A 13,080-nucleotide genomic window follows, 5' to 3' on the forward strand; every position below is an offset into this window, starting at 1 on the left:
AATAAAATAGGAAACTAAGAGTTATTTAAATAAAAAATTATTTTAAATAAAAATAAATTAATACATTGAAAATTTGGTGAGGAATGGGGTATTTATACAATCTTGATGTACTGTACTACAGAATACATATTAATTACAAAGGGCAGTTAATCAAGTGATGAAATGACTCTCGTTAGTTCTGTGCCAACCGACAGGATGCACACATGAGAACACAGCATCCAGGCAGAGACCAGAGCCAGAACCTAATCACGCAGAAACATCAGAGAAGACAAACGGGGGGATACAGTGAAATAACTGTAATCTTCAAATGTGAAAGTCAAGAAACAAGACGGGGGAATTACTCCAAACTTAAAGGCTAAAGAGACATGAAGCATGCTTCTGATCTGGATTACTTTGCTAAAGCAGAAGCTAAAAGTTTCAGTGTTAATTTCCTGATTTTGATGGTTGTATTGGCATTTTTAGGTACAGAGGAGAATATGCTTGTTTTTAGGAAATACAGACTGAAGTGTTGAGCGCTGATGGGTCATGAGGTCAGCAATTTGCTCCCAAATGGTTCAGGAAAAATTTTCTCTGTGCTGTATTTGCAATAATTCTGTAAATTTGTTATTGTTCTTTAAGAATGAGAACATCATATAACTTTCCTCAAGTATCAAAGTTTTCTTTAACCCATCCTAACCCCAAATAAAAGATCTAGAACCTCTGGACAGCCAAGTTACTAAACCCAGCCAGTCTATTACATTAAAATAGAGAATTCATGGGGCCTGCCATGAGATTTCATCCAGCAGCAAAGGAGTTGTGTCTCCTTTTAGATAACGCTTATCAAAGTAAAAGAACAAATGTATAATAAAGCTGAAATTTGATTACAATTCATGCATTGTCTGCATACCAGTTGCAAAACCATTTATCCTTTCATTTAATATAAATTCTGGTGGATGTTCCATGCCCCAAGTTTGCTAGTTACTGAAGTTAAATAGGCAAATAATAACCTTGAGTTGATCATAGCATAGTGGAGAAGACTCACATGTAAAAAAAGCAACATGGCATATGCGTTGTTATAGAAATATAAAAATATATGCATTGTATATGGCAGTTGAAAGCCAAGGGAAGGAATAATGAACTCTAAATGGGTAATCAGGAAAGGTTTCACCAAAGAGATGAGATTTTGATCTGGGTCTCCTAATTTGAAAAGAAGTAGGCCAGCAAGGCAAGACAATGGCAGAGGGACGTTGGCGGTGGGAGGGATTCTCAGCACTTGTGGCCTCTTGAAAGGGCTTTGGATGTCTGGGAAACAGAGAAGAGTTCAGCATGAGCGGAAGGCAGTTTACAACAAATGGAATAGGGTGAGAAAGAGATTAGGGTGGGGAGGTCTGATTTGTAAGGATACCCCATCCCTGATTCCACTTCTTTCCAAGATACGTATTTTCACGTTAGAAAAACACACCAGTGAAGAATCCATCTCACAGCCGTGTTTTCCCTAAGGGTTGGCGGGCTGATAAAGGAAGGTGTTGAGTTGAGGGTGGAGCTTGTCCTCCCTGACTTCAAATGGGACTTCTGGGACTGCGGTTGGAGGTCTTGATGAATTGCCATTTACTCTGCCAAATCACCGCTTGGGTAAAAATTCAGATTGTTTTCCAGAAATTATTAAATGCTGTCTTAAACTCATATTGCAAATTGTCATAGAGAAAAAAAGAATTATATTCTCCAAACTGGGAATTTATTCAAAAAATTCCATTTTCTCATGTTGTTTGGTTACATATCTCCGAAAGCAGATTTAGCTTTCTCTTTGCTTTTCCTGAACTGTAGCTAAGATTATATTTTATGTAGAAATTTAAAATTTCTATATGATCTGAACCAAACAGCTTCCAACTTTGGGGGTTTTGGGTTTTGTTTTTGTTTTGGTCTGAGAGGGTTGAATCATCTAAGTGTTTCCTTTGTCAAACATGCACATGTAGACAAAGAATAAGAGAAAATTAAAAGTAGAAAGATTTATTACAACCTAGATTTCTTCCATTCTACTTCCTCTAGTTAGCATCACCCACATAGTAACTTACTTATCTAAGAGTCCTGAAGATCAGCTGAACATTATAAGCATTATTTAAAATATTAAACATTGTGAAAACATAGATATAGAAGTTTATTGAAGATAATGTTTTCAAACAGTTACATAATAATTTGAATATAGGAATCCTAGGAATTTAATTTTTTCTGACATCAAATACTTTAACAACACCAGGGTTTTGGGGTAATCATAGTCCCTCAGGGCTTTCAAATATGCACATTTAGTGAAGTATAGATTGGAAAAACTACAGTGAACACATTGACATTAATCAGTGTATTCAAATATGTTTCCTACTATTGCTGTAATTTGTGGTGCTTTGCTTTTGAGGTGACATGCTGCTCTTGGATTGGAGCACCTTTAAGTTCTAGAAATAGATCTAATGATTGATACATCCAACTGAACTGAAATATGATGTTCGTGCTTGCCCGAGCCTCATAAAAGGTGGCTGAGGATCTCTGGAGTGGTTACCCTTTCAGCTTGTGAAGCACCTGCCATGTGACTCTCTAAGAGGCTTCTTTATTTGACACAACTGAACATCAGGCTAAAGTGCTAAAACAAGCTACTCATTTCTCCTTCTTTTCTCTTGTGCATTTCATTCTCCCTTTGAAGATGACTGTGCACTCACAAATTCTTTTTTTTTTTTTTTTGACAGAGTCTTGCTCTGTCTCCCAGGCTGGAGTGCAGTGGCGCGATCTCGGCTCACTGCAACCTCTGCCGTCCAGGTTCATGCCATTCTCCTCCCTCAGCCTCCCGAGTAGCTGGGATTACAGGCGCCCGCCACCATGCCTAGCTAATTTTTTTTTTTTTTTGTATTTTTTAGTAGAGACGGGGTTTCACCATGTTAGCCACACAAATTTTTAAATAGTAGAAGGGGCACTACTTGAATAGGCAGAAGGGAGTGTCCTGTAAGTGTCTCTCTCCCTGGGCAACTGGTGTGATTGAGGGAAGAAGTCCAGCATCTGATTAACTTCGCAGGGAGGTTTGCTCAGCACAGAAACTCTAAAGGAAACTGGGGAAGAGACGGCAAATGGCTTCATTATTTCCCACATACAATATCCTGTCATAGTAATAGTGTAATAATGGATTTATGAAAGAATATTGTCATGATTTTCTTCTTTTGGGATCAAAAGGAAAGAAAAAAATTGTGTTATACAACATCGTTCTCAGGAGACGTGAATTGGTTTTTAAACGTTTCAGATTTAGTGCTTTCTTGAGCGCTACGTCAGGATCAACCAGATCTCCAATGATAAAGCTATGGAGCGAAGAAATCCACTGGGAATGATCACACTTTGTATAGAGGAGCTCTGGGCTCTATGAAGCCATCTGAAGAGAAACGTGGGAGGATGGGACTGTGAAAACAGGGACCCCTGCGGCACTTGGGAGCCATGGCCCTTTGCAGTCTGCATATTTCTGTCTGGGCACCCAGCGCCATCTCTCCCAACCTACCTGTCCCCCTACTCAGAATATGATGATTAACCCAGGGCCCTAACCAGGGAAGCTGTGTTCAAGGAGAAGCCAGTGCCTCCACATCCATCCTGGAAGACACACCACTGGGTATAGACAGGGACATGGCTTCCTTCCATTCCAGGACCTTCAGAGCCGGGATGTGTGTTCAGCTGGTTTGTCCCCCGAGGGGAGAGGGAGAAGGGAGAACAAATGAGCTGTTGTAAACACACATACAGTGTGGTCTTTCTGTGAACCTGATAAGTAACATCTAACTTCATGCATAGGACGTGTTAGGATGGACAAGGCCACAGTCCCTTGAGCCTGACCTGTAGAAAGTAACCATGGAAGGGCATGGTTGACCAGTGCTGATGAGTATGGCTTGTGGGGGAGGGCAGTGGTGTAGATCTTGGTGAGACAAGCATGGAGAGACTCAAAGGTGAGTAAAATTACATCTTCGAAAGAAGGATTGCTTTCTCTCATCTCAAGTTAGGAAATTAAAGCTATTGCATCTGCACCCAGCGTTAAGCCTAAATTCACAAGAAGTGACTTTAAATATACAATTTTACAGCAGGCATATAGAATGGGTCTCGATGGTCATTAATGAACCAAAATATAAGTAACTTAATTTAAATGCTTGAAAAGTGACCTGGAGGAAATCTGCTGCCTGCTACAGCTCAGAGCAAGTGCTAATCATCTGAGATACTAAGGTACACACCTTTGTAAAAGGAAGCAGGTGCAATCTGGTGTGCGCTTAACTTAAAATTCCCACTTTGAAGAGGGCAAAGTACAGATCATTCTGGATTTATATAAAGTAGTAAGAGTTTGGTTGGGATGGGGGGGCAATGACTGAGAAATAAAGTTAGAAAGAGTCCTTGTATAATCTGCTGCTGCTGATATGCCATAGACCTAGTGCTGTGATAGATTAACTGAGCCCTTTGACCCTAAGGAAAGGAAGGGAGGGAGGTGGGAGGCAGGGAAGGGAGAAGACATGCTTCACCCATGTGAATTCTGAACCAGCTGAGGGATTCACAAAAGATTCCAGCCAGTGGAGATAAGTTCAGCTTTTATCACTGACAGGGCTGTTGAGACTGTGGCTTGATTCTAGGGCACAGTAACTCCCTATCCCTGAATTCTGGGGTAAGACAGGCTTGCCCACCATTCAGAGGCAATGCTGACCAACCATAGGTCTGCGACCCTAAGTTAGAGAGCTGGGAGAGCAAAGCAGAAAACCAGGGTGCTCTCAGCAGGAAAGAAGGGGCTTTCCCCCGTGACAGGGTTTGGGTTTGTGTCCCCACCCAAATCTCGTCTCTGTAAAATAGAAAACTCTCATGTCTCAGTGTTGGAGGAGGGGCCTGGTGGGGGGTGACTGGTTCATGGGGGTGGATTTTCCCCTCACTGTTCTTGTGACAGTGAGTGAGTTCTCACAAGATCTGGTTGTTTAAAAGTGTAGCACTTCCTCCGTCTCTCTTCCCCCTCCTCTCTTCCAGCCATGTGAAGATGTGCTTGCTTCCCCTTCATCTTCCACCATGATCGTAAGTTTCCTGAGGCCTCCCCAGCCATGCTTCCTGTACAGCCTGCAGAGCTGTAATCCAGTTAAACCTCCTTTCTTTAAACATTACTCAGTCTCAGGCATTTCTTTATAGCAGTGTGAGAACAGACTAATACATTCCCCAAATCCAATATCAAATAAGTTACACCCTCAACCTGGGCAAAATAAACAGGATGCTTTAGGGGAAAACCCTCCTCCTATAAACTAAAAGATCAGGGAATAAAGGCGCTTCTTCTCCCTTTCCCCAGTAGTTCTGTTGGGTTCCTTCAATTAATATTTCTTGATTTAGGCTGGGTGCGGTGGCTCACACCTATAATCCCAGCATTTTGGGAGGCCAAGGCTGGCCAATCTCTTGAGGCCAGGAGTTGGAGACCAGCCTGGCCAACATAGTGAAACCCCCTCTATTAAAAATACAAAAATTAGCTGGTCATGGTGGCATGCCTGTAATCCCAGCTACTTGGGAGTCTGAGGCAGGAGAAACACTTGAAACTGGGAGGCAGAGGTTGCAGCGAGCTGCGGTGGCACCACTGCACTCCAGCCTGGGCAACAGAGTGAGAATCTGTCTAAAAAATAACAATACTTCTAGATTTAGTATTTAGCGGTTTGAGAGCCCAAGCAGCCTATAATAATATTACAATCACCTGTAGAGGAGAAGTGAGACTCTACCTCTGCCTTCTTAGTTCCTGGCTGGATCTGAGAGTGAAGTTGACATAGGTAGGTTATCAGGAGAAAATCATACAAATTTAATAGAGGTTTTACATGGCACAGGAGCCTGAATAAGAAAATGAAGACCCAAAGAAATGGCAATACCTAACTGCTTTGATATTAGGTTGAGCAAAAAGAAGCAGCTGTGGAAAAGTAACTAAATTACGTGGGGAGGCTGCAGGAAGATAGGCATTATTTTACCACGGTCTGTTTCTACAGAATTATCTTCGCTATGGCTCCTGGTCGCAGAATGCTTCTTTTCTCCCGGTGCAGGGAAGGGCATCTTTCACAGGAATGTTTTTATCTCCTGTTTTTGAGGAGAAAAGGGGAGAATGACATGCACTTCTTCTATCTGCTGTTTTTCAAGTGTTTCTAACTCAAAATAATCCTTATGCCAAAGTGACATATTTTGGGGTGCACATTCTGGCACCCTTTGCCCGTAAATGGATTATTTATTCCAGTGGTTTTCAAATTTTTACAGAACCTTGGCATCAGTGTGAAGTGACTGTAATAGCACTCAGGTGTTTGAGCTTCACTCAGTATTACTAAATCAAAATCTGCCAGCAGGAAACCCAGGCACTGAGGGCCAGCCCATAATGCCAAAGGCTTTGCAGAGTCCTTGCTGTGCCCTCGGGATGCAGAATTAAGCTGGAAGCAAGCCCTGTCCACAGTCTTGAAGAGGAAACACACAAGTAGGCAAATAAATTCTAGCACAGTGGGAGGCTGTGACAGCAGGAGGATGGGAAATGGGCAGAAGAAGCCAATCGCCAATCACCACAGTTTCACAGGGGCTGGTTCTGACAGTCACGTCTCAGACCCGGAGGATCCTGGAGGGACTGCATTGATTAATGGGCTCCTTCACTTTCTGGCTTTGAGTTCTGTTCAGCCAGCAGGGCACCCCCACAGGAGACAGAGAAGGAAGCTGGGTGTTCTCCCCCTGGCTCCTGCCACAGGGTGGCATGCATCAAGGGGGGCTGGGTAGGGAAGCTCCTGACAATGGGACTCTTTCCTGGTGGTGGCACCACCAGGACAGGGGGAGGCCCCAGCTTCCCTGTGGACCCTTCAGGCTAGCAGTGGTAGGGGCTTCCCACCACCTGAGCTAGTGAACTCTATACCCTGTCCATACCTATGCAAATAGCTCCCTTATGAAACTCTCCTAACATTACCCCATCCACATGTGCCAATGATTCGCTGATTTGCACAGGAATCAATGGCTTGGAAGAAGATTCTGAAATCAATCATGGAAGGCTTAGGAAATGCTGCCCTGCCCATGCTCCTGATGGCACAGAGGCCGACATCATGCTGCCCGTGCTCCTGATGGCACAGAGGCCGACATCATGCTGCCCATGCTCCTGGTGGCACAGAGGCCGACATCATGCTGCCCATGCTCCTGGTGGCACAGAGGCCGACATCATGCTGCCCGTGCTCCTGGTGGCACAGAGGCCGACATCATGCTGCCCGTGCTCCTGATGGCACAGAGGCCGACATCATGCTGCCCGTGCTCCTGATGGCACAGAGGCCGACATCATGCTGCCCGTGCTCCTGGTGGCACAGAGGCCGACATCATGCTGCCCGTGCTCCTGGTGGCACAGAGGCCGACATCATGCTGCCCGTGCTCCTGATGGCACAGAGGCCGACATCATGCTGCCCGTGCTCCTGGTGGCACAGAGGCTGACATCATGCAGAAAATTATGGACATTAATGAATTTGAGTTAACAATAGATTCAAATGAACTGTCACTGGAGAATTTCTGGAAGCCATAAACCAATGTGTTTTACTGATATATTCCTCTTCATGAATGTACAATAGTGATACATCATTTTTTAAAATCTTTGTCTTAATAAGTCTACCTATCTCAGTAAGTATAAAGTAAAAATCCTGGGTGATAAAGCACTTTATCACAATTTAGCTGACCACCTACATTGTTTTAATGAAACAAAGTAATGATAAATCATACAATCAATGGTATTTTAGATTCAATAAAAAATGACAGTGGCTTTTGGCATGAGTTCTGCCTAGGCTGGTGGTAATACTGTGTTCCCTGCTTTCCTTCTGCAGAGCCATGCATAGCCTTAGCTATCTTTTCATTTTCAACATTTCTGAATTACTTTATTTTAGAAGTCTCTCTTTTACATAGCTCAGGGTTTTGCTTTATGAGTGACATTTGTTTGTCTTATTTCTACCAAGAATATATTTAATGATTTTCACAAATCCTTTTGTCATAGTTCCCTTTGTCGTCTCTTGGTTGGCTGAAATTTATTCTCCAATAGTTTCCTAAAGGAAGAGCCCATGAGAACAGTATTTTCTATCTTAATGCATGTTTAATGGTTTAATGGTGTTTTACTGACTTTTTTTTTTTTTTTTTTTTTTTGAGACGGAGTTTCACTCTTATTGCCCAGGCTGGAATGCAATGGCGCAATCTCAGCTCACTGCAACCTCCGTCTCCCAGGTTCAAGCGATTCTCCTGCCTCAGCCTTCCTAGTAGCTGGGATTACAGGCACCTGCCACCACGCCCAACTAATTTTTTTTGTATTTTTAGTAGAGACGGGGTTTCACCATGTTGGTCAGGCTGGTCTTAAACTCCTGACCTCAGGTGATCTAGCCGCCTCAACCTTCCAAAGTGCTGGGATTACAGGTGTGAGCCACCGTGCCCAGTGTTTTACTGACATTTTTACACAAAAGGACAGTTTGCCTTCAACTTTCCTCTTTTCAGTATTTTGCTGGTGTTGCTTTGCTACCTTTTAGTTAAATTTTGCCAAGAGGAAACTAGAGGCTAATCTTTTACCTGCCTTGCAAGTAATTTTCTTTTCTTTTTTTTTCATTTTTTTATGTTGTTGTCGCTTTGGTCGTGCTGACTTCGAAATTCTTTATCTTCAAAGCACAATGATTGTACTAGAATCCATTTCAGCGTTTACGATTCTAGTTCTATTTTCCTAGGGCATAGTATGCCTTTCAGTATGTTGCTTGTTTTTAATTTCAGGAACATTTTTTGAATTAACATGTAAATAATCGTTGTTATTTTTTTCTGTAGGATTTTAATTTTTTGTGTATCACAACTCTCATCTGATTTCTGATCATCTTTTCTCCCTAGTCCTTTTAATTTTTCCTTTGTTCCCATTTCATTGAATTTACTTTTCTCATCTGGCGTCTCTATCCATTTGTGCGTCTTCAATTTCTGTTCTTCCTAGTGCTCCTTTTGATTTCATTTTCTTTTCCTTTTTTCTTAAATAATAATTCTGAGTTCTCTAAGCTCATGTTTTCTCTACTGTTATTTAGTCATCATTTCCTTAAGTTCTCAAATATCTGATTTGTGATTCTCCTGCATAGAGGTTATTTATTAAGTTTTTTTTTATCATAGAGAAACAGTCACTTTAAAAATCTGTGCTGTGGCAACGTGTTTCTGGTGAGTGTTATTCCTCTATTGAAATTTTGTTGCTTTTCTTCAAAATTTGTCATGTAGTATCTTATATCAGTGATGCCCCAGCTCCTTCCTACCTGCTATTGCTTTTTTTCCCCATCATTGAATGACTTAGAATTTGTGGAAATTTCGTATATAAAGGAGGGGTCAAGGGAACCCTCAGATTTTTACTGTAAAAGATTCTGCCCTCTGCTGCCATAGAAACAGTTAGATTCCTGCAAGTGTGGCCAGTTATTGTATTTCCCTCTCTCTCCTTCTTTTTTGATATCTCATTTCCTCTAACACTTTGAGCTAAGCCAAGTTCAAGAAGCCTTCTCCCTTATACTCTGTTTCTCCATCCATTGTTACTAACAAGGAATTTAGCTGTATGTTTCAGTTCAGCTGTATGTTTCCATCATTTTCGGGAAATGTGTTTTTCTGAACTTTTCCAAAGATCTGCTACAATTTAGCTCACCTTCAGCTCTTCATTATTTTACTCTTCAATCTTGCTTGCATGCTTCTGCAGGATCTTAGCTGTTTCTAGTATCCTGTGCATGCATTTTGTACTAGAGGGAATACATCTATCTCCTAGTTTTGCTCAAAATGGAGGTTTTCCTTTTACGATTTCCAAGAGGAGAAAGGGAGAGATGATGATTTATGCAGCAATGCTCATAGTGTAAATCCACTTCGAAATGTTTTAATTTGACTTATTGGAAATATTTTCTGTGGGAATCAGCTTTTGGTTAATATACTATACAGAGATGCTCCTCGACTTACAATGGGGTTACATCCCAAGAAATCCATTGTAGGTTGAAAATACGATAAGTTGAAAATGCCTTTAAAGGATAAGATGGTCAAGATGGTGAAATGCAGAAGTCCTGACTCATGTGCAATGGCCATTACTGTTTGCAGCTTCATGCCGGGAAGTTATCTTGAGTTTCATCTCAAGAATAATTGTCTTCTTCTCATCAGAAGCAGGAAACACAGAGGAGTGTCTGTAGAAATGAAGAGATGGGAAAACACGATATCCAAAAAACTGCAGGCAATACAGTCCACTGTGCAGTATTGGCTGTTACCCCGATGGTCATGGGGCTGCCTGGAAGCTGCGGCTCGCTGCCCCTGCCCAGCAGCAGGAGGGAGTATTGGACAGCACGTCCCCAGCCCCGGAAAAGATCAAAAGTCAAAAGTGGAAGTATGGTTTCTACTGAATGTGTATCACTTTGGCAGCACCGTAAAGTCAAAAAATTAAGTCAAACCACGGTAAGTCAGGGAACATCTGTCTAGCTGTAGGACAATTCTTGAAGAACTAATTGCAGTGCTCCCAGCATGGTGCAAATATGAGGGTAACATTCAGTTTAATTAAATGTCAAATCATAGGATGGAAAATGACAGTATCTTTGTCCAAAAAGCAGATGCAGAAGCAGCATAATCCACAGAAATTTTCAATTTCATTTGCTACCCAGCGGCTCAAATCCATTATATGTTAAGTATTGTTCCAGGGCTTCAGCCTCCCCGGCAGATTTCTCCTGTTTTTGCTGTTGCTGCAGGGACTGGCCCCGTCTTCTGAGGACCAGGCCTCCACGGTGGCTGCACACCTCTGCTTTAAATACTTTTAAAGTTGCAGAAAAGGACCTTCTTGAAGCAAAAAAGACACCGTCCTCTTCTGCATGGGCCAATGCTCAACATACACATGCATGGAAAAAAATTTCCAGGAAGTGATAAACTAAGCATGGGGCAAATAAAACAACACATGACCTGATTTCATCTCCAAGTTTGCTCTTGTGTAGGAAAAGATAAGCATTTCTTTCAATGTTAAGTTGGGGTGGTATCTAATAAATCAGAATGAAAACTCAGGTTTCATAAAAGCAGTGATTTCTCTTCCAGAGAGGGCTCTGAATACATTGTTACTTACTTGAACATGCTGTCCTTCAAGGTAGGAGCTGAGGCAGGGCCTACACCTGTAATCCCAGCACTTTGGGAGGCCAAGGTGGGAGGATTGCTTGAGCCCAGGAGTTTGAGGCCAGCCTGGGCAACATAGTGAGACCCAGCCTCTACCAAAAAAAAAAAAAAAAAAGAAAAAGAAAAATTAGCCAGACATGGTGATGCTTGCCTGTAGTCCCAGCTACCGGAGAAGCTGAGGTGGGAGGATCACTGGAGTCCAGAAGGCAGAGATTGCAGTGAGCCGGGATCACGCCACTGCACTCTAGCCTGGGCAACAGAGCGAGACCCTGTCTCAAACAAATAAAACAAAGTAGAAGATGATATCCAAGCCATTTGTGATTTGTTCTGACCTTCCAATCTATGATTTAGGTATTGATTTAGAATGCATTTTATTCATCCTATAAAAATCTCTGCCAATTATTCTTTTTTTTTTTTTTTTTTTTTTGAGATGGAGTCTGGCTTTGTCATCCAGGCTGGAGGGCAGTGATGTGATCTTGGCTCACTGCAACCTCCGCCTCCTGGGTTCAAGTGATTCTCCTGCCTCAGCCTCCCGCGTAGCTAGCTGGGATTACAGGTGCCCACCACTACGCCTGGCTATTTTGTGTATTTTAGTAGAGACACAGTTTCGCCATGTTGGCTAGGCTGGTCTTGAACTCCTGACCTCAAGTGATCCTCCTGCCTTGGCCTCCCAAAGTGCTGGGATTACAGGTGTGAGCCACCACGCCCTCACAGAACAATGTATTCCTTAACTTTTTATATGCTTTTTTTAGATTGAAAAATTTCAAAATTATAAGCAAATTTAATGCTTGAAATTGGACATCAGCATTGAGCTGGAGAAAAATCAATGGTTCCTTCTGATGTGAAAGGAAGCAACAATATATAAATACAGGTCTATGTCTTCATTTCTCCTTGTAACAAAAATGGGGTATTCAGTGTTGAAAATTTCCTTAGGCAATTCCCCAAACAACTACTTAAAAATACCCAGAGTTGGCCACTTGTTCTGTGCCTACATCAGACTCCAAAAAAGGAACAAACACTTTCAGCAATGGTGATTGACCCTCCTATAAGTTTCTCTCATTTTAAAACATGGGAAAATCATCACTTCTCACTCAATAGAAGAGGTTAGGTTTAGGGCCGTGCTATGTTTATTTTATTGCTACTATGTAAGCCAACTTTGATTCTGGCCAGAACGATCAGCTTATGTTTATATCAGCTTTAACAAGATCCATAACTGTTTTCCCTCTTCACTAGCCTGGCTATATGTGGGATACAAACTTCTGTGCTTCTCACAAGGAAAAAAAAATCCAATTTCAAAGACTCAGGTCTAACCACTCAGGTGACTTTAAAATCAAATTATTCTATAGAATTTTACAGGGTGACAGCATATTTGTTGAATGATATGATATTGATGTGTACATGAATTTTTAGTTGGAGACTAAAATCTGTTTTAGAAATAGATCCAGTGCTTTTTAGAAAATACTTAAATTTTTCCCATTGATCATATAGTTCCCTAAAGTTTTAGCTTTTTAAAAAATCTAAATGGCATTATGCTTTTAAAGAAAGGAAAGTGGAACGTTTGATTATGAAATGTAGGGAATGCTAATGTTTTATAGTTTATGTCTTCAAGAATCAGTTTTTAAGTTTTTTTTTTGTTTTTGTTTTTTTTTTTAAGACACAGTCTCGTTCTGTCGCCCAGGCTGGAGTGCAGTGGCGCAATCTCGGCTCACTGCAAGCTCCGCCTCCCGGGTTCAAGCGATTCTCCTGCCTCAGCCTCCTGAGTAGCTGGGACTACAGGTGTCCACCACTACGTCCGGCTAATTTTTGTATTTTTAGTAGAGACAGGGTTTCACCATGTTGGCCAGGATGGTCTTGAACTCCTGATCTCGTGATCTGCCCACCTAGGCCTCCCAAAGTGTTGAGATTACAGGCGTGAGCCACCGTGCCTGCCCCAGTTTCTAACATTTTTTATAACCATCATACAAT

General features: G+C 41.9%; 1 long non-coding RNA gene across 2 annotated transcripts in view; it reads right to left on the bottom strand.

The window, feature by feature from the left end:
- The window catches only part of F11-AS1 (F11 antisense RNA 1), a 214,961-nt gene that overhangs the window by 124,173 nt on the left and 77,708 nt on the right, over positions 1-13,080 (bottom strand). The window contains exon 7 of one of the 2 annotated variants that reach the window (NR_033901.2): positions 5,778-6,066. The exons of the other annotated variant lie outside the window; for it this stretch is intronic. This is a non-coding gene — a long non-coding RNA (F11 antisense RNA 1). Of the gene's footprint in view, positions 1-5,777; positions 6,067-13,080 lie in introns of those variants that run through there. 2 annotated transcript variants of the gene reach the window in all.

Source organism: Homo sapiens, chromosome 4 (assembly GCF_000001405.40).
Source record: "Homo sapiens chromosome 4, GRCh38.p14 Primary Assembly".
Taxonomy (NCBI): Eukaryota; Metazoa; Chordata; class Mammalia; order Primates; family Hominidae; genus Homo; species Homo sapiens.